At 33.5% G+C, this 22,283-nt stretch overlaps 1 protein-coding gene across 3 annotated transcripts in view; it reads left to right on the top strand.

The window, feature by feature from the left end:
* The window catches only part of ZNF280D (zinc finger protein 280D), a 103,334-nt gene extending 83,643 nt beyond the window's left edge, over window positions 1–19,691 (top strand). For all 3 annotated transcript variants that reach the window (NM_001002843.3, NM_001288588.2, NM_017661.4), the window contains 3 exons: window positions 6,870–6,915; window positions 14,617–14,672; window positions 17,745–19,691. In NM_001002843.3, the coding sequence (NP_001002843.1) occupies window positions 6,870–6,915; window positions 14,617–14,672; window positions 17,745–18,369 (727 nt within the window). In that variant the 3' untranslated portion in view covers window positions 18,370–19,691. The remainder of the gene's footprint in view (window positions 1–6,869; window positions 6,916–14,616; window positions 14,673–17,744) is intronic.
* The last annotated feature ends 2,592 nt before the right edge of the window (window positions 19,692–22,283 follow it).

Raw genomic sequence — 22,283 nt, 5'->3', positions numbered from 1 at the left:
AACAGAATGGCAGCCTTTTTCTATAAATCTTATATTTTAAAATATTATTTCTGTTAAGAGATACTTACTGTCATTGAACCTGTGACCATTGAAGATATATAAGGGTTCATTCCATTATTTTCCTGTGAAATTTTGAACTTACTTGGAGGAATTATTGGCTCTGGTCATAATCCTAAATTATAACTCTGTAGCTCTTATGTGTTCAAAATTGTTGGGAGACTTCATTTCATTAATTTAGCAAGATTAAAAAAAAAAAACAAACTGATCTATTGAGTTCATTTTGGGCTTGTTTCCTTCTTTAAACTTTTGAAATGTGACCGGGATTTTAGCCCCTAGATTCTCTCATCCTACCATAGACATTAATATCTCAAACCGATCTTTAGGAACTGTAAAATAGTTCTTCCTTTTCAAAATAGACTTAATATATTTGCTCCTGGTATGTAATTGCAAGTGGTTTCTGGCAATTTGGACTTCTGCCTTTGATATCTGGTAAGCAGGGAGAATTTGAGACCCAGTGAGATGGAAAAATAAATGAAACTTTAGTGTAGTCTTTCATTTAGGACAAACTGTACCAATCTCTACCAGTGATTCTGAGGTTACTACCATTTTTTTCAGTCTCTGGTTCCTGAGGGTTGTTGCTTATAGATTATAAATTAAATATCCAGGGTATAATTCAATATTACCAACAAACCAAAATAATAAAATAGAGTCCTAGACTGTCATTAAAATCTTCTGCCTACATTGATGGTCTTATTTTTTTTCTTCACGTTTTTACACATGAATATTTTGGTCTTTTTTATTTCTTGTCTCTCTGTCTTTACCTAGTTCTTTCTTCTGTCTATCTAAAATGATTATTCTGCTCTTTGTTATAATAGCTTTAGATGGCCAAATCATACCCTGGTGTTCTAAGATTAGCAGATCATTTCATACTAGAAAAAATAGAACTGGTCCTAAGGAGAATAGACCAGCAATCAAAATTAATGTCTGTTGGGTTGAGGGTGAGGTGGAAACATGGTATACTAAATTTGTTGTATACTCTCAAGCAGATTCTGAGCAAGAAGATTGATTCTATACTCTACCCATACCCATGACAATAATAACTAACATTTACTGAGCACATACAGTGTGGCAGACACTTTTCTAAGTGTTTTGCATTTATTTACTCATTTAATTCTCACATATTTGTGAGATATGAGCTGTTACTGTCTGATTTTATGGATGAGACAACTGAGATACAGATATGTTAAATAATTTGCCCAAGGTCGCACATACCTGTTAAGTGGAGAGCCTCAATTTAAATTCTGTCAGTCTGTCTTCAGAGACTAAACTACTCAGTAGTATCCTCTATTGCTTCTCTGCTTCTGCTTGTAGTTCCAGGTGTACATCCTGCCTTGTTTGTGATTGGCCAAGAAACTGGATAGGACTAAGCTTCAGTGTTAAGGCCCTCTTTCTGCAGAAGGGTAGGCAGCAACTGACACAATCATACGATTGGGACAGTAATCTAGCATACCAGTTTACTGTCCCAATCCTATGTTCTATTGCTCAAACTTCATAGAAATACTGCCCTAATGATGTTTGGGCAATATAACATTTGAGCAAAGAATGGTATAAACTGGTCTTTTAGTAGGATTAATTTAGCAGTGATACTCAGCATGTTTTAGAGTGGAAAACATATAGAGGCAGAGAGATCAGTTAAGGTTTTCAGTTTCCCTGGCATGATCATAAGGGAGCCTGGTTCACAGGAGAGGAATTGGCTTGAGGCAGTGCAGTGGAAATTTGAAGTAGAACCCACACATTTAATCCTCCTTCTATTGCTTAATGGCTTTATAACTTTAGCATTTTTAGGCCTCAGATTTTCTCATCTGCAAGATGGGGGTAGTTGAATAATATAATCTCTTAGGACCCAAGTCTAATACACTGTGATGTTTCTGAACTGAATTGTCAACTGTTTGAAAAATAACAAAGTGTATTAAAAATGGAGGAGTCATTCTCTGGATGTTGATTTTGAAGTTATATGAAGAGAAGTGATGGTTGGTGGCCAGGTGTGGTAGCTCACACCTGTAACCCCAGCACTTTGGGAGGCCAAGACAGGTGGGTCACTTGGGCTCAAGAGTTCGAGACCAGCCTGCGCAACATGGTGAAACCCCATCTCTACAAAAAAGTATAAAAATTAGCCAAGTGTTGTGGTGTGACTGTAATCCCAGTTACTCAGGAGATGGTGATGAGAGGATCACTGGAGCCTGGGATGTGGAGGTTACAGTGAGCCGTGATCATACCACTGCACTCCAGCTTGGGCAACAGAGTGAGACCTTGTTTAAAAAATAAATAAATAAATAGAAGTTGTGGTTGGAATTGTGTATAAGGATGAGATACACAAGAGGCAGGTCTGAGTGGTAAATATTTCCATATGAATGTTCTGTAAGCACCACAAATCCAATATGTCCAAAACTGAATTTATTTTTCCCTCAAAGAATGCTTTCTCCCTTCTTCGAATTCCATATCATGAATAATCTCTTACCAGCCAGGGCAGGCATTTGAGGGGGTCATATTTGTTCTCCACATTTACCTTTATCCAGTGTATACTTACATTCTTTTGGTTTTAACTTGTTCTCATCTCCCTAAACCAACCTTTTCTCCATTGACACTGTTACTGTTTTAATTGAGAAAGTCATTAACTGTCTCTTAACTGGACTCTCAGCTTGTCTTCTACCAATACAGACCTTTGTCTTTCTGATGCACAAATTTGGTCATACTTTCCTATTAGCATTAAAGTTCTTAGCATGAACACTTTAGCATGGCAATCAAGACCTTCCCTGAAGAGGCTCTTGTATGTTTTCAGTTTCATCTTGGACTACTTTGCTTTGTGCCTGACATTTCAGTGATATGAGACCACCAATTCTCATATTGTCATCTTGTTTCATACTTCTTTGCTTTTTCATACTTTCTCTGTTTCATACTTCTTTGCTTTTTCTCTGCCTTGGATCTCCTTACTCTGCTTTGCTAATTCTTGCTCTTTTTGCAAAACCAAGTTCACTGTAGTATCTTCATTGCTTCCTTGCCTCTTTCCCTTTCATAGTGGCTTAGGTCTCTGAACAAAGATGTCTTTTCTAAACCTTTTCATAATGTAAACATTTGCTTCATTGTGTTTTCTTCACAGTGAACTCCTTGAGAGGAGAGACAGTCTTTTTTAACTTTGGACTGGAACACTTAGTACAATCCCTGAAATATGTACAACCTGGTAAATGTTTTGCTCAGGCATCCTTTCCACATATAAATATATTGATAATTCTCAGAACAAATGATCAGAAATGGTAGAGTAGATGTTTTACTGTTATGTCTTAGTCTGATGATTACTATATTAAATTTAGTCCCTGAATGTCTCAGTGAATGGTCTTTTTATTTTATTTTGCTGTTTTTTGTTTGTTTTTTTGAGACAGGGTCTTGCTGTTTTGCTCAAGCCAGAGGGCTGGATTGCAGTGTGCAGTCATGGCTCACTGCAGCCTCAAAGTCCTGGGCTCAAGCAATTCTCCTGCCTCAGCCTCCTGAGACTGAGCTGGGACTCAGGTATGTACAACCATGTCTGGCTAATTTTTTAAAAATTTTTTTGTAGAGATGAGGTCTCACTATGTTGCCCAGGCTGGTCTCAAACTCCTGGTCTCAAGCTATCCTCCCATTTTGGCCTCCCAAAGCATTGGGATTACAGGCATGTGGCACCACGCCTGGGCTAAGTTGAAGGTCATGATTACTGGCTGACTTTACTACTGGTTGCTTTACAGCCTCTTTTCAACTTTTTTAGTATGCTTACAAATATTCTTAAAGATTACATTTCTAACATCAGCATTGAAAATTTTGGCTTTTAAATGTCATCAGAAAGAAAGAATGTGGCCTAGCTGAAATGAATCTGAATATTTTTCCCCTTATAGTTCTTCCCCTCACCCCATGGTATGTTTATAGTGTGAATGAAACCTCAAAGGAACATACTACTATAAGTGAGCCAGAATGTTAAATTTTGTATGGATTGGCTGGGCACGGTGGCTCATACCTGTAATCCCAGCACTTTGGAAGGCCGAGGCAGGTGGATCACCTGAGGTCAGGAGTTCGAGACCAGCCTGACCAATATGATGAAACCCCGTGTCTACTAAAAATACAAAAATTAGCCAGGCATGGTGGCATGTGCCTGTAATCCCAGCTACTTGGGAGGCTGAGACAGGAGAATCGCTTGAACCTGGGAGGTGGAGGTTGCAGTGAGCCGAGATCATGCCATTGCACTCCAGCCTGGGCAACAAGAACGAAACTCCGTCTGCAAAAACAAAACAAAAATTTTGTATGGATTGCTCCTAAGACCTGCAGAAAAATGCAAATAGGGTCATTTTAGTCTTTAGAGGGAAAAGCTTGTCCTGTAGAAATACATCAGAAAGATCTATTTCAGCAGATTTTCATAGAGGGGAAAAGTTATTTCTTGCAATCTTGATCACTAATGATGTTGAAATTGATCACCAGTCAGTCCTGTTCTCTTTGCATTGAAATTTTAAATAGTGTTTGCTATAAATACTACACTATATTTTTCTATTAAGAAGTATTGTAACATTCACAGGTGGAAAGTATAATTACCTAATGGTGGGTCATTAGCTCAGAACTTTGAGCTTAGCAAATTTCTGTCTTCTACCAAAGTAATTGAATGTCTAAAATAATGACTATTTCAGCAGGTATCTTTAGTAAATAAGAATTATAGGTAAGAAAATTTTTCTTTTCTAAAAGTGTTAATGATGTGTTAGTAGTATTAATCTTAAAGTATACTTTTGTAGTTCAAAGTTTGAGTGTACATTTTAGTGATGCATTTTATAATTTAAAATTTATTGTGTGCTTTTCTAAATATTTTTAAGATTTATTTTTCTAAATGTGTTCACTAGTTATTACGATTCTGTTCCTTAAAGAGAGTACTAATATGGTAAAAGGCACAAAACAAGATTGAAATCATAGGCCTCTTAATGCAAGTTATTTCAATAACTTACTTTGTTCTCACCTACCAGTTTCTTGCCAGTACAATAAAGAGTGATAAAAACCTCTGTCACCAACCTCCATCACAGAGATAGCAAGAGGACTGTGTTTCCTCTGTTGAAATGCCAGCAATAATGAACATACTTAACGGGGCTCATTTTAATAGCTGCATACAATTAATTTATTATAATAGGCATATGCTAAAATGATTAGCATGGTGATATTTCTTTTATAAGAATATAATAGGTCTTACTTTGATAACATTTACTACGATAAGTTGAGGGAGAAAAATCTTTCATGAAATATTTAAATTGTTCTGTGACCAATTTGTTTTTCAAACTGAATTTAAAATGACTAAATGCTTAGAAATAAAAATGAGTTGTAATATACACATTTATTTCAAAACTTCATTAATTTGCTTTTTCATGCTTTTTGCTTTTTTAGACTAATGTTTCATGTTTTCTTAGTACTTCATAACTAATTTTATTCTTAAAACTTATTTTCCTTTATACTGCATTAAAGCAGTGAAGTTATACTGTATACTTGATGTGATCTCATCTTTATAAGTATTGTGCACAATTAAATACTTGAGACAATTACAAAATCTTTAACCCCCAAAATGATTGACATTTGTGTCTTTTGTCAATTTTTTCTGCAAGTTTTATTCATTTTAATTGGCTTAACAAGTTGGTTGTAAATTATTGTAGTGCACTGCCAATATAGTGGTTTTACAAAGGACATAATCTATATTAAGTAGCAGTTTTGCCTAATAGCTAAAATACAGATAAGTAATTTCATACAGTTAATTATTAATGTTTAACAAAGTATAAACATTTATAGCCCTAATTTTTCAAATATGCCCTCAAAGGATGGATGAAGAAGGAGGGTTTTGCCAACTCTGTTTCATTGATTAGCCATGAGAGTAGCTTTTAGGATGGTTGACGTTTCTATCCTATTAGATATCTTTTTTTTTGTCAATGAAATTTAAGATAATATAGTTGCTGCTTATGTTAAATATGTTATTCCTTAGGTATAGCTATTAAGCCTTCATAAAATTATGTATCACTTAACTCTTGATTAATGACATTTCAGATCAGGTAGGTACCCTACTTACACAGATTAAAATTGAGTTTAATGTATAATATCACAAATAATATTTAGTCATTTCTGCAGCTTCTAAAACAAAGATCCTTTGGATAAGCTAGTTCTTAGATTAAATTGATTATTTTACAAGATTTTCTGGATGGCATATACCTTTGTTAATGTTTTAATAAGTTATAATTAATATTTTTAGAAATCAAGAAGTTTTAATATTTGAGCAGTGCTTATGGAGGTTTTAAAGAGAATATATTCCTCAAAATTCTAATTACTTCTGTGATTTTACTGCCTCCAGAGTAAGTTAACTATAATATTGTTATATTTAGTTGAATTTCACAATAGATAAAATATTTATCTTTTTTCACTTAAGTCCTGTAATCGTAAATACTGATGCATATTACTTATGTAAGCATATAACCTGCTTTTAATTTTTAAAGAGTAATTCTTGTTTTGAAACTGTTTTACTAATGTGTATGTCTTTTATTTTAAATTGTACTTAGCAAAGAGAACATTTCTTAAGTGTCCTTGTTTTTAGAGAACAAGGAAATAAATGTCTTTATTGATTTAGCACATTTATCGAATCTACTATTTAGTCTCATACGTTTAACTTTTACCTTAAAACATTTACAGAGGTCAATTTACTATTAAAGTATAAAATGTACATTAGTTTCGATCTACATTTTAATTATTTTAGGCTGGCAGAGAAAGAACTGTTTCATATTTTACCATCGTACATATAAAATAAAATATTCAATACTTATCTTGTTTTCAAGATTAAAAAAAGAAGCTCCCGCAAAGGAACAAGAACCTGTGTCTAAGGTAAAGTTTGTTTTACTTTATACCTTAAAGGTTTATACATTTGAAAGTATTATTGGTATGATATAAAATTTTTTTTCAATTTCAGCATGCATACATCAACAATATTTGGGATGTTGTGAGGAAGAAAAAAAATCGAGATTTAAAATTTTTCATTACATATAAAAATATCTAGCCCTAAGTAAAATTTTAAGGTATTCTTGTTTTGACAAAGACATCTTATATTTCACTTGCCTGTTATTTAGTTCAACTAGTGAGTAATGGAGATAAATTTATGAATTAAAAATCCCCAAATCAGTAAAACCTCAATCATTTGGCACACTGGAAAAATTAATCTTTCCAGGTTTAATTTTCTGGGATATTTTAACTGTCAAAAGGTTAAACTAATTTTTAAAATAGAAATATTTTGGATGTATCTTAAATATGTTTTAAACAAGTACTCTGAATGCAGAACTCAGAATTATCATATAAATGTTATTTACCGGACAGTCTAATAGATGACTGTAGAAATAGTTTTGCTCAACTACTTGCTTTCTTGATGTCAATTTATGTTGATATTACTTAATGATTGTTTGCCTCTTTTTGAGTGTAATGAAGTGAGGTAGATTTGACATTTATCTTTTGAATACTTTGTCTTGAATGGCGCATAATATAAGTGAAATCCAGGCAGAAGTATCAGCCTTCTTCCAAGCAGCTTTCTTTTGTACCATAGAAAGTTTTCTTTTGTTTAAAAGTTTTTCAACTACAAATTTCTTTAACAGATGCAGGTTTTTAAATTTTTTAATCTATTTCTTCTTGAGGGAGTTTTGGTAGTTTGTAGTTTTTTTGAGGAATGGGTTCATTTTACCTAATATGTTGAACTCGAATCTTATGTATATTGAGAAAGTTGCTTATAGTATCCCTTATTGTCTTTGTAATCTTTGGAATCTGCAGTGATATCCCCTCTCATTCATGATATTGACAGTTTGTGTGCTTTTTCTATTCTTATTATATATTTTAATTTTAAACATGTTGTAAATACACAGAATGCAGTATTACAGTTTTTACTTTAGACAGTTTTTTTAGGGCAATTAAAAACTTTAAAATTAGCTTTATATTTACCTTTATTTTTACCATTTCCTATACTCTTCATTTCTTTATGTAGTCTTCATTTCTGTTTATCGCATTTACATTAAAAATTCTGGCCAGGGATATAATGGAGCAAATGTTTCCGGTTTATACAGGGGTATACAAGCCACTGTTTGCCCCTAAAATAATTATGCCTAATTTGTTCCTTGTTTAACTCATCATAATTTAACAGAAGAAAATGCTGCATTCTGTGAATTTAAATATGATCAACTTTTTTAGTATTGTACAAAGGATATATAGTTTAGGGGTAGGGGAATTCAGTGAGCAAACAGGATATTCTTGTCTGGTCTAAAAACGACATTAAAATCACATATAGTTACATTATGGGCATCAAGATAAATGCAGTTGAGACACTTTGCACACAAATTAAAGATGATTATCAAATATTAAAAGATATAATATCAAATGACAAAATACATTATGCTGAAATTGAAAGCATATTGGTATGAATAGATTACAAAGTGTTATGCAGATTATCTGTATGGATATTTTGAGCCAAGTGGAAGAAGCTAAAGCTTTACAGTCAGTAAACATGACTAATATAAAGCTACACACTTAATAAAAGGCCTATCCCTTTGCTTACAACAATTGAAGGTAATTTTGAAAGTGTATTTGATGAACATAAAACTTGAGCAAGAGATATGCATATTCTTCTCAAATTTTAAAATAAATGAAAAAAGTAAACAAATGAGAAATGCATGAGTCACTGGGTGAAGAGTATTGATAATTATGAGGGCAGTGCTTATTAAATAGAAATTAAGATTATAAATGCCCTAATTTCATATTTTGTATAGAGATATAAAAAATTCAGTGAAATGTTTTCAGATTTTGAATTTCTAAACTGGAGAAAAATTGTTTTGTATAAATACATCTGATTTACAAAGACGAGCCACTAAGTTTGCACTTAAATATTCTGACGATTTAAATTCTATAGAAATTCTATATGAAATAGTTTAAAGCAGCATTTGATATCAATAACATACAATCAAGTTTGTGTTTGGGTCTTCTAAACCTTCTTAACATATTTTGCTTAGTGCAGTCTTAAACAGATTTGGAAATGGTATTCAAAAATTTTAAACAATTCCAGCCACAGTGGAATCCTGCAAATGAAGCTTACTGTAAACTGAAGTTAATATAACATTTTTTTATGATTGTCACTTGTTCAAGAGAAATTGTACATGACAGTTTGCTCATTTGAAAACAAAATAAGAAAAGAATTAGATTTGAAAATGTACTGTTGATGCATTTGCTTCCATTAGCCAGGAGAATAAAATAATACTGTTTTTGGCATAAATAAAATCTTTAAGTTTAAGCTAATGTGAGTTTAATTCTCCTACTTTTAAATTTTTCAATATTTTTCTGACTAACATTCTAGAAAAAAAATTTTTTAAATACACAGAAACAGGCTGGGCACAATGGCACACACCTGTAATCCCATCACTTTGGAGACAGAGCTGGGAGGATTGCTTAAGTCTAGGAGTTAGAGACCAGCCTGGGAAACAAAGTGAGACCCTGTTGCTAAAAACAAAAAACAAAACAAAAACACACCACACACAAAGCAAAACTTATAGGGGCATTCATTTTTTCTTTTGCCTCAGGCTTCAATATGGCTTGGTATAGCACTGATTGCAGAATAGTTACATCAAAATTTTTGAGACTGTTATGCTGAGCCAGAAAGTACCCCATGATTTCTTTTCCTTTTCTGTACCTTATGTTATTTTTCTGGAGTTAAAAATATGTATCTTTTTTACTCGTTTGTTTAGTTTTCTGTGCACCTAATGCTGTATTTTTTTCTAACGTTGCAATTTCTCTCTCAAATATTTGGAAATAGTTTTTCCAGTGTTCACACACATAAAAAAAAAATCGCTGGGGAGTGAAGGGGTCTGAAGATCTCCTCCCAGACTCCCCGCCTCAACTTAAACTAGTTGCTCCCTAAGCCTGTGCTTAGTTTTGTTATGTCAAGATTATCCTTTGCCACTCCCTTGTATTGGATGTCCTGTTTGCTGAACCATGAATTATTCCTCATTTCTTGGCTTACTCATCATTTTGATGAATTGTGTCCTCTACTAGCTTCCTGAGAAGGTGTGCATCTTTTTTCAGTTTTTGCATATCTAAAAATATATTTATGCGAATGATAGTTTGGCTGAAGTACATAAAAATAATTCCCATGCAGTTTTTAAAATGTTGTTTTTACTATCTTCTTATATCCAGTATTTGTATTAAGTCTGATGCATGTCTTGCTCCAGTTTCTTGGTATTTAGGTTACTTTTTTTCTTTTTGGAAACTTTAGTGATTATCTCTGTCACTGGTGTTTTGAAATCGCATGATATGTTCACCCATCCTTTTTTCATTCATTGTATTAGGCATCTGACAAACCTTTGGAGTTTGGAGATTTCTGTTTGGGAGAAGTTTTCTTGTTTCATTTCTGTGGTAAATGCTCACTTTTATTTTCTGTGTTCTCCTTTTTTTAAGAAACTCCTATTGTTCTGACATTGTTCTGACACTGAGCCTCCTGCATCAACTCCTTTTTTTTTTTTAGCTCATTTAATTGTATGTTATTTTCTTTCTGGCCTTTCATCTTTTTGTTTTTTTGTTTCAATCTTTTTAAATAATTTTCTAAACTTAATTACTTATTTTAGTTGCCATATTTGTAATTTTGAAGAGCTCTGTAACTTTTTATTTGTTCTTTAATTCTCTTTTTTACAGTTTTTGTTACTGTTTAATGGATATAATAACATATACCTCTTTGGAGATATTAAATATTGTATATATACTTTTTTCTTTTGTTCCCAGCAATGTATCTGATGTCTCCAAGCCCCTTTCTTTATTCCTTTTTGTTTTTTTTGGTATTTTTCATGTTAAGGTATGTCTTTTGTTATGTGGTGATCCTTACCCGCCCATACATAATTAAAGAATGAGGCTAAAATAATCATTGAAAACCGTATGTGTTTGAATGGAGACAGGGCTGTCTTGCATAGCCATTCAGGTTGAACACTGCAGAACTCCTGCGGATACTATTTAAATATATCCTTTGTAGTCTCAAAAATTACTAATGTTTACCATATTAGAAATTGAAATAATGATATTTTAAAACTATTGTCAAAAATAAAAATAATAAATATATGTTAACATAAATCACATTTTTTTTCTGAAAAATAACTATTTTCCAAAGCAACAGAAATTTAGTGAGAAAGAATGGCTTGATTTTACACTTTTGCATATTTCTTTAATGTCAAGCTTAGTAGAAAAAAATTGGATTCTCATGTTTCTGAATCCAATCTGTTGTGATACATTCTTTTGGTTGAAATGTATGAAGAATACCCAGCCTCACCCAGTACTTCAATAATCTTTTCCAATAATTGTGATTATTCTCCTTTGATACTGCACCAAAAGTGGAAGTTTTCTTGCTTGTTGCACTGTGGAATCTAGCTCCGTATCACTGACTTTTTTTGCTTTGTTACATCAAAATCTGTTTGTCTGTTTTATATTTTGAATGGATCTTTTATCCATGCCTAATTTTGTAATATCATGCATTGGTCATTTGGAACTTATTGGCCCCTTAAGTGCCCTGGATCTTCCAAATGTTGAAATATTTCATTATATAATATCAAGCACTCACAGTAAATATTAGCATTAATCTAATCAGTGGTGGGTAGGAGTTTTTGCTTGATTTTATTACTGGAAACGAATACTGTCAGTTGTTTTCCTTGATATGACAGGCTCACTTTGTTAATTTTTCAAAAAGAAAAAGTCTACTGAAACTCTAGTCTAGATATTCATAGTTTGACAGTCATTCTTTAAAATAAAAATGATCCTGTTCTATGAAAAAAATGTGGTTAAGTACAACTCACAACTCAATCACAGACCCAAATATTTTCAGTAGGCAATGGTTGTGACTTATGCATACTTTCTTTGCATTTTGTCACACAAAATATTAAAAAGATATGAGCTCAAAGATTGAGATTTAATAAAGTTTTTTTTTTTAACTTGTCTCGGTGTGGTGTGAAGAATACAATGTGTATGGTGGTGAAGAATACAATGACTACTAGTACAGGTTGCTACTGCCTTGATTTATATTAATTTGCCACCATTTTTACACACTTCTGTTTTTATGCCAAGAGTTGTGACTTCAGATGCCTCCTGAAAGTGGCTTGGATTCTCCAGGTGTCCATATGTCATACTTTGGAAACGGATGATATGAATTACAATGTGTTGCCCTCTGGATTTGTGCACTGTACTGTGTGCACAATCTGCATGAAAATTGCGTAGACTTCAGTGTGGGAAAATTAGGTGCTGAACTGACTGATTCTTTGTTGAGGAGGATGGTCTCAACATCATTATGGAGAGGCCAGGTGTGGTGGCTCATGCCTGTAATCCCAACACTTTGGGAAGCTAATGCAGGAGGATCCCTTGAGGCTGGGAGTTTGAGACCAGCCTGGGCAACACTGGAGACTTCGTCTCTACAAAAAAAAAAAATGTTTTTAACTAGCCAGTCATGTTGAGCACATACTGTGTAGTCCTAGCTACTCAGGAGACTGAGGTGAGAGGATTGCTTGAGCTTAGGAGTTCGAGGTTGCAGTTGAGCTATGATCATGCCACTACGTTCCAGCCTTGGTGACAGAGTGAGATCTTGTCTCTTAAAAAAAAAAAAAAAAAATTCATTCTGGAAAATTTTTTCTTTGGGGTTGATCATTTTCTCCAGAGAGAAATCTAGCTTCTAGCTGAGAGTGCTAGGTTGGGGAGTGAGTTCTCTGGCTGTTGGCATTCTGGAAGCCAGGCAGGGAGAAGGATTGTTAAGTACGTGGACTTTTACTAAAACTTTGTTTTCTCAGTATCTCATGCCTGCCTTTTACTTTTCCTGGTGTTCATAAGTCTAGACTATCTCCACTTCAGAAAGTTAACTTTTAGGCTGGGCACGGTGGCTCACTCCTGTAATCCCAGCACTTTGGGAGGCCGAGGTGGGTGGATCATTTGAGGTCAGGAATTCACAACCAGGCTGACAAACATAGTGAAACCCCATCTCTACTAAAAATAAAAAAAATTAGTTGGGCATGGTGGAACATGCCTGTAATCCCAGCACTTTGGGAGGCCGAGGTGGGTGGATCACCTGAGGTCAGGAGTCTGAGACCAGCCTGGCTAACATGGTGAAACCCCGTCTGTACTAAAAATACAAAAATTAGTCGGGCATGGTGGTGGGTACCTGTAATCCCAGCTACTCAGGGGGCTGAGACAGGAGAATCGCTTGAACCTGAGAGGTGGAGGTTGTAGTGAGCTGAGATCATACCACTGCACTCCATCCTAGGTGACAGAGCTAGACTCTGTCAAAAAAAAAAAAAAAAAATAGGAAGGAAGGAAGTTAAGTTTTAGCCTCTTTGGTAAGGGAAGGGATAGGTGCCTGTTGTGTAAGTTGCGGGGAAGGAGCATTTAGATTTCCCAGCAATGCTTTGTTTTTACTTTTTATGTACTAAATAGTAGACTGACCACCTGCAAATACCAGGTGTTTTTGGTTCTCTGGGCAAATTGATCTCTTTTCCTTGCACTCCTCCACTGCAGACATTCATTGTAACTTCCTCCATACTGCTAAATCAGTAACCACTCTTCCAATGACTTTCCTGTTTCTAAACATTTGGTGAAATCTGTTTAGCAATTAGTATACTTTGGTGTTTTCTTCATCTTTATGAGTAAAAATATTTTATTTCTTTGCCCTTGTTTTAGCAGAGTTTTGAGACGGTGAGTAGATAAGTGTGTGTGATTAATACACCATTATCAATTTTACAGGCTTGAGTCGATCTACCATAGTGGTTAAGAGGTAGATATAGATTTGAATCTTTACTACTTATTGTGGTATTGCCTTGGGTTCCCACTCAAGTCTTATTTCTCATATATTGAAATAGTGTTTATAAAATCTAATATGTAGATTAAATGAGATAGTGCATGTAAAGTTCTTAATATACTGCTTCATGCATCATATGTACTCCATAGCTGGTAATTGTTACAAGCTGTTAGGTTGGCCTATGGCTTACTGAGGTTTTACACTTTTCTTGCTTCCCTGTAAAACATTTGAAATAAGTAGAATGTTTCTTACTTTGTGTACTGTTTCATGTTTTTGGTTTGACAGTGGAAGGGTTACCATGACTCAATATGAAATCATAAATTCAGAAATGTTTTATCTAAATACCTGTGCCTAATATATTTATATAAAATACTGTGGATGCATCTTGTTATTCAAATTCAAGTTGTGTTTTACTAGTTTTCTATTTAAGTAATTGTAATTATGATCCACATTTGAAATAGAGGTTACGAAAAGCAGATATTGACATGAGTGGGTAACTGCTTTTTTACCTTGAATCAGAAACTTTTGGTACACTGAAACTTTTATAGGTTTAAAAACATTTTCAAAACCTGCATATAATTATGGAGTATTCTAATTATATTTTATATTTAATAAATTATTTTTCTATTTCTTTGTTATATTAAGTTGCACACTTGTTTCTTTTATCCAGAAAGTTTAGTATAATAAAAATAGTTTTAAGATTAACTGTGAATGTAAAAGAAAAGTATTATTAATTATTTCAGGAAATTGCAAGACCTAACATGGCTGAAAGAGAAACAGAAACATCAAATTCTGAAAGGTAAATATAAGGAAAAACTGAATTTCATAAAATTCAAGTATACAAAATAACACTTGAGCTGCATTATTTCACAGTTAACTGGCAAAGGACTATTTAAATGTTTGTATATAGTGCTATTTTCTGTAATGGCTCTTAATTAAAATAAAACTTAAAAACTTTAATCCAAGAAAAATATTCTCTATATCCTTTGTTTTTAAATCTTTTAAACATATAGAGCATATTTTATGTTGTTAAATTTTTGAGAAACTACTTACTAGCAAGTAAAATGTTGGCAGATTTTCTTTGCCCCTATTAAATGAAAACATTTACAAGATGCTGCATGTTACTGGACAGGAACAGTTGTTGCACATAGGTAATCTTAAGATTTTTTAAAGTATTTTCAAAAAGCTATAAGACTACTTATATGGTAGGATCACAATAGTTTCAAAACTCAGGGTTTGGCTTTTAAAATTTTCATACTTTGGTAGAATGTTAAAGAACACAAGATGTTTCACAGTCTTTTAGCAGAAGAGAATCTGAACATTCCAATTAGAACTTTATTCCAAAGAAGGGTAATTTTATTTTGTCTTTTAAGTAATTTGACCCATTTATATCTGTATGCTATATATTTTACTGTAGGTTGCCTGTTAGTCTGTTGAGATTAATCTTTTGTCCCTAAAAGCAAGTTATGGATTAAGTTCCTATGAAGGTGTTTCTTATACTTCAATAGTAAAGTTATCTCGCCCTTTCTTCACCTTGAATTTTTTGTAAGTTCTTGGGGGAATGTTAACAAAAAATCAACTAAGGAGTTAGAAAATGCGGACTGGTCATCTCTGTATTATTTAACATTTTACGTAAATTGTAGTTAGTCCATTATGATCTGAACAAAACTAAGAATTATACAAATTTGAAATGAGGAAAAAATAATTTTTTCCATATGTAATTGACCAGTTAAGATCCAAAAAATGAGTTAAGTGATTGAAATTAATGAGAGTATTGATTAAAGTAGCCTGGTGTAAAAATCAGAATCTTTCTACCACTAACATATGATTACAAAATATAGTGGACAGACTCACTCAATCATAATGTAACAAAAATGATACAAATAATTGATCACAGCCAGTTGCAGAGTTCTTTGTTCCTTCTCCATTCCCACTGATTCACTTGACTAGCCTTAAAAATATCTATATCTATATATAGAGAGAGAAATGGCCAGGATCCAGATGAAGAAAAGCAAAATTTTCCATGATAAAAAATAATATATTAACTACATGATAGACTATTTTACAAATTAAATTATGAATTTAATAAACATGGGATTTGTTTTGGAAACTGACAAACTTAAAAAAAGATTTATATTTTTCTCACTATTAATACCATAATGTATTTAATCATTCCTTTCTTGCTGGATAACATACTAGGTTTTTGGCTGGGCGCTGTGGCTCATGCCTGTAATCCCAGCACTTTGGGAGGCCGAGGTGGGTGGATCACGAGGTCAGGAGTTCAAGACCAGCCTGACCAACATGGTGAAACCCCGTCTCTACTAAAAATATAAAAATTAGCCGGGCTTGGTGGCACGTGCCTGTAATCCCAGCTATTCGGGAGGCTGAGGCAGGAGAATCACCTGAACCCGGGAGGCAGAGGTTGCAATGAGCCGAGATCATGCCACTGCACCCCACCCTGGACGTCACAGTGAGACTGTCCCCCCTCAAAAAAAAAAAGATAAAAAGATATTAGATTTTTTATATTTACTATTTTAAACATTGTTTTAATGAGCATCCTTGATAAATATCTTTTACATATTAAAAGTATGAAATTTATGGGGAAGAGTTGTAGATTGTAGGTGATTTGTTTAGTTCTAAAGTATATTGTTAATCAATAATTGTTAAAACTGGGTGCTACTGGTTTAGGAATAGTCTAAAGACAAATCAGTAGAACAAAACAAATAGCAGAGAAATAGCCTTATATAAATAGTAATTTAGTAAATAATAAATTACCTTTTGGAAATGTTGCTAGGATATTTGTGCAATTCATTGGGAATACGTCTAAATGTCAGATTAAATGTAAGAAATAAGGTATATGTAATCATTAAATTTATTTTCATAAAATAAGCATCCTTAGATCTAGATAATGGACTGATGATCTTCTTAGAAATCTTGTTTCTCATATTTTGTGATTCACTAGATAGTTTCTGTTAACACTTCAGGGCCAGAAGAAACACACAGAAGCACACATATATATATGTGTACAAACATGCACACACACTTAGATGTGTATGTATGTTATATATTTACATATACTTTTTCAGGCATGTGTTTTTTTTTTAAATTGGGCTATTAAAAATTAGAAAAATATGTTTGAATGCTTATCTGATTTTATGTATGGAAAGACATTCTAAACATAAGAAGCTATTTAAATCATAAAGGAGACTGGGCATGGTGGCTCATACCTGTAATCCCAGCCCTTTGGGAGCCAAGGCAAGAGGATTGCTTGAGCCCAGGAGACCAGCCTGGGCAACATGGCAAAACCTTGTCTCTATGAAATATAAAAAAAATAGCTGGGCTTGGTGGTGTGCACCTATATTCCTAGCTACTTGGGAGGCTGAGGTGGGAGGATCACTTGAGCCCAGGAGGTCAAAGCTGCAGTGAGATATTTGCACCACTGTGTTCCTGTCTGGGTGACAGAGCAAGACCCTGTCTCAAAAAAAAAAAAAAAAAAATCATAAAAAAATATAGATTTTTTTCCAAATATATTTTTTTATTTTAGGTACTTTTACAAGTTAATAAAAATACTTAAATTTAAACTAGAAACAGGCAAGAGATATGAACAGATGAAAATAATGACAGCCAGGACTAAAACTAGTTGATAGATATCTTTTAGTATGTGATTCCAGAGTTTCTCAGAATCTTGCCTAAGAAAATGGCCTCCTCCTAAATTTTACTGCCATAGCGAGGATTGGGAACTTGGACTGTTTTCCTTTTTGGTGGGCAAATGTACCTTGACTTTTTATTTTTTAGAACACGTCTTTATTTTGACAGTGTTCAAAAACATTGCTTTATGAAGAAATACATAATAAATGACTTTATTTTTCAGTAAACAAGATAAAGCTGCTTCTTCAAAAGAAAAAAATGGATGTAATGCAAATTCATTTGAAGGCTCATCAACAACAAAAAGTGAAGAAAGCATAACAGTTTCAGATAAGGAAAATGAAACCTGTCTTGCAGACCAGGAAACTGGCTCAAAAAACATCGTCAGTTGTGATTCAAATATTGGTGCAGATAAAGTGGAAAAGAAAAAACAAATACAACACGTTTGTCAGGAAATGGAGTTGAAGATGTGCCAAAGTTCAGAAAACATAATCTTATCTGATCAGATTAAAGATCACAACTCCAGTGAAGCCAGATTTTCTTCAAAGAATATTAAGGATTTGCGATTAGCATCAGATAATGTAAGCATTGATCAGTTTTTGAGAAAAAGACATGAACCTGAATCTGTTAGTTCTGATGTTAGCGAGCAAGGCAGTATTCATTTGGAACCTCTGACTCCATCCGAGGTACTTGAGTATGAAGCCACAGAGATTCTTCAGAAAGGTAGTGGTGATCCTTCAGCCAAGACTGATGAAGTAGTGTCTGATCAAACAGATGACATTCCTGGAGGAAATAACCCTAGCACAACAGAGGCAACAGTAGACCTGGAAGACGAAAAAGAAAGAAGTTGAAATTAGTCATTTTAAGTTTCAGTGTACCAACGATAAGGGCATTTGGAACAGTGCTATCAGGTGAGCTCAGTGGTGCTGTTGTAGGTTCAGAAATGGAAATATGTAAGGGAGGTCACACATACACTTTACCTGTATGTTCAACCTATGTTATCAAACAAATCAATTCACCAATAATAGCATGATTAGTAGGGATTCCCAAAAAGTTTTTAAAAACACGAACAGGATTTTAATGATAATTAAATTTGCAGTGGAAAGGTCTCATTTAATGGTTTTCAAGGAAATGGGATTTGGTTGCTGACATGAATTGATGATATTAGTAATATTTATAAAGCCTTTCAAACTTCCATCAATCCTAAGCTAAAAATCTTTATTACCTGTATATCCTTTTCAGTTAACTGAGAGGAAGGGATTTGGAAACCATGTACTTTTGGGGAGTAATTGATTAAAAACAATGGCTGATTGGCATTGTTAATGAAGGCTTTATTTGTGAGGATGATGCTGGTAAATGGAGCATGCTTAGAGTACTAAATTGATCTAATGAGAATTTGGATGAACATAAACTTAATTTTGGATTTAATATAACATTCCAGTCAGACGCATGTAAACAGAATATTTGAATCTTTGTACCTCCATACAAGTGTTAGCCTGCCAGGCTGTAAGCTTACCTTAATTAAACTTTCAGTGAAAGTGGAATTATTAAGATATAAATTTATATTTGTGCTTTTTGTCAGTGTGTAAGCTGTGTAGAAATTCTTTGATGTATTAGTTGTATTAATGTAAAGTAGAAACCCATTGTTGAAACTCCTGTAGCTATTATGCTTTTAATATTGTTTTAATGATCTTCCTTAGAAATAGGCCCATAAAAATGGTCTGGAAGCCAAACCAAAGTATGGTATAATGTAGATATTGTAAAGCAGTAAACTGAAAACATGTCCTGGCATGTATTCAGCCATGTTTAAGTGACTTTTCTGTAATTGTAAAATAAAAACTTCAAATGGGACCTAAAACAGTGATGTAAAAGAACTGGTTTTGGAAATTTAGCCTAATTTATCTATAAGATGGCTGCTAAATTGATTTTTCAGTTCTTTTTATCATCTAGAATATAATAGATATAGAAATGAATAATATGAAGAACAGTAGTTTGCTTTGAAATACTAATAAACTTTTATTTAAAATGCTTCATTTTTACTTCTTAAAATGTGCTTTGGATTCTTAAATTTTGTTTCACTGAATGTTCAATGTTTTAAATGGCGATTAAAATACTCTGCTGTATATAGTAGTTTTTGAGTAAATATTTGCAATAAAAATCTGCCCCCGAATAATTCTATTTTTCCAATCACTGCTTGATTCAGATTACCTTTGGTGCCTTTAGAAATTATATACTTGTTCAAGAAATTTAATATCAGTGTTAGTGGTGAGGATTCCATTCTACATTCTTTAACTGCTGATACATTATTTTAAATTAGGACTTAAAGTACAGGGGACAATATTGCTAATATTTATGAGAATAGATTTGCTTTATAAATTCTTTTACTTCAAGAGAAATAGAATTTAATATTATACTTTTCTATCTGCCCAACAATTTAAAGAGGCTAAATAGGCAAAATATATTATGAATTATTTGGAGTATTTTGGGGAGGAGAGCTAATATTTTTATCTTTCCTGCTCCCAAGAAAAGATAGGGAGAGAGGGAGCCATTAGCTCTCATCCTTCACCTTGTTAAAATGTAATTCTGTATCATGGAAGATTTTTGGAATAATATAAACCTTAGAAGAGCAGGGTTAGGAAAAACGCCTGTCTCTATAAGGACCACTTGTGAGTCTCATTCAGTCTGTTGCCACATTATCACATTATGACACCATAATCCCTTTGGAGCTTTGCTACATCAGCCCCCATATACCTTTTGAGTAGTGGTATTCAAAGTAGCAGGTCAATGAACTGTTTGTACCTATATACTATGAGAAAAGGAACCTATACTGGACTGTAAGTGCTTCATTGAGAAAGTCTGGCAATGAAAAAAAAAATAGCTGAATTAAGAATTGTATTTGGTACCATAGCTGGTTTACATTCTCTTTCAATCTCCTTATCTCCAATCAGGAACAACCAATCCAGGTATGCAAACCAAACCTTTGGTAGCAGTGCTTTAGAGCAGCGGTTAGGAAACCTTCTCTACAGGGCCAGACAGTAAATAATTGTGGGCCATGTGCTACAATTACCCAACTCTGCCTTGTATCATGAAAGCCACTGTAGATGATATGTAAATTATGAACCTATTTGTGTTCCAGTAAAACTTTATTTACAAAAATAGGATGTTGGCTGGATTTGGCCCATGGACTATAGTTTGCCTACTCCTGCTTTGTAGTGCTTAAACTCCTTTGATAAGAATATGAAAGCCAGTGATGCACTCTAGTGACTGCCTAAGAACTATCAAGACACCTTAGTATGTTATAGTTCCCTGTTAAAACAACGGGATTATGGTGGATTATAAGTGCAGTTTAATAACATCAAGAATCATTATATTTATTTTGTAGGATGCACTGCTAATTTATATTGAAAATCTGAATACCATATTTATTTGTTATTTCTTCCCCTTTCCATCTCTTCAGTGTTTTAAGGAAGAAACTATAAATTTTTTTTACCCCATGAATTTTTAAAGAACTATTCTAAACATTTGTTGAAAGAAACTAACAAGAGGTGAGTCACTTTATTTTGGTTAGAAGTAAAAAGATAAGGAAACCAAATATCTGGGCAATTATTTGGCTAGGGTTACAAAGCCTAGATTTGAACCCAGTTTGATCTGATTCTTAAGTTATTGTTTTTCCATTACATCTAGTTACTAGCATTTATATTAAACATTTCCTTTTAAAATATTTCTTTTTTTGCAAATAATCCTCCTATGGATGATACTAATTGTAATTATAACATCTTCAAGAAATGAGATATGTTGGGTGAAATTACTTTTATAGTTAGCTCTAGCTAACTTTTAATTGCTTGTTAAATGCATATGGAATCAAAGACTTCTTAACCTGAAGAAAGGGGATTTTTCCTCAAGGAGTTGTGAATCATTTTTATTAATAGGCAAGATAGTATATCATGTAAAGATACACTTTATAAAATAATTATTGAAGTTTTAATATCGTTACATTTTTGTAGGCTTCTGTTAGGTCATTGTTTGACTTCATGGTTGACAAGACTACTTTTTATACTATAATGAAATAGGAAGTTTGTATGCACTAGAAGAGGATTGCAAGTGTTTTATTTTTACTAGACTATTACAACAGTAAGACTTGTTTACTCAGCTAAGAAGTGAAACAGTTGATTTACCTATTTCTAAACTTAAGAGGAAAAACAATTATCTTTTAAGTACAGTTATGCGCCACATAATGACGTACCCCATGTATGATGGTGGTCCAATAAGACTATAATGAAGCTGAAAAATTACTCTTGCCTGGTGACATCTTGATAATGCTGACCCCATGTAGGCCTAGGCTAATGTGTGTGTGTCTTAGTTTTTTTAAAAAAAGTTTAAGAAGTAAAAAAAATTTTGTTTAATAGTAAAAAAAGGTTATAGAATAGGATATAAAGAAGGTACTTTCGTGCAGCTGTAAAATGTTTGTGTTGTTAGCGAAACGTTACTACAAAAGAGTCAAGTAAAAGGCCGGGCATAGTGGCTCACGCTTGTGGTCCTAGCACTTTGGGAGGCCGAGATGGGCAGATCGCTTAAGCCCAGGAGTTTGAGACCAGCCAGGAAAATGTGGTGAAACTGCGTCTCTGCAAAAAATAATAAAAAAAAATTAGTTAGGCATGGTAGCACTTGCCTGTGGTCCCAGCTATCCAGGAGGCTGAGGTGGGAGGATCACTTGAGCCTGGGAGTTCAAGGCTGCAGTGAGCCATGATCAAGCCACTGTACTCCA

The sequence above is a fragment of the Homo sapiens genome, chromosome 15, assembly GCF_000001405.40.
Source record: "Homo sapiens chromosome 15, GRCh38.p14 Primary Assembly".
NCBI lineage: Eukaryota > Metazoa > Chordata > Mammalia > Primates > Hominidae > Homo > Homo sapiens.
This window is presented reverse-complemented; position numbering and strand designations above follow the sequence as displayed.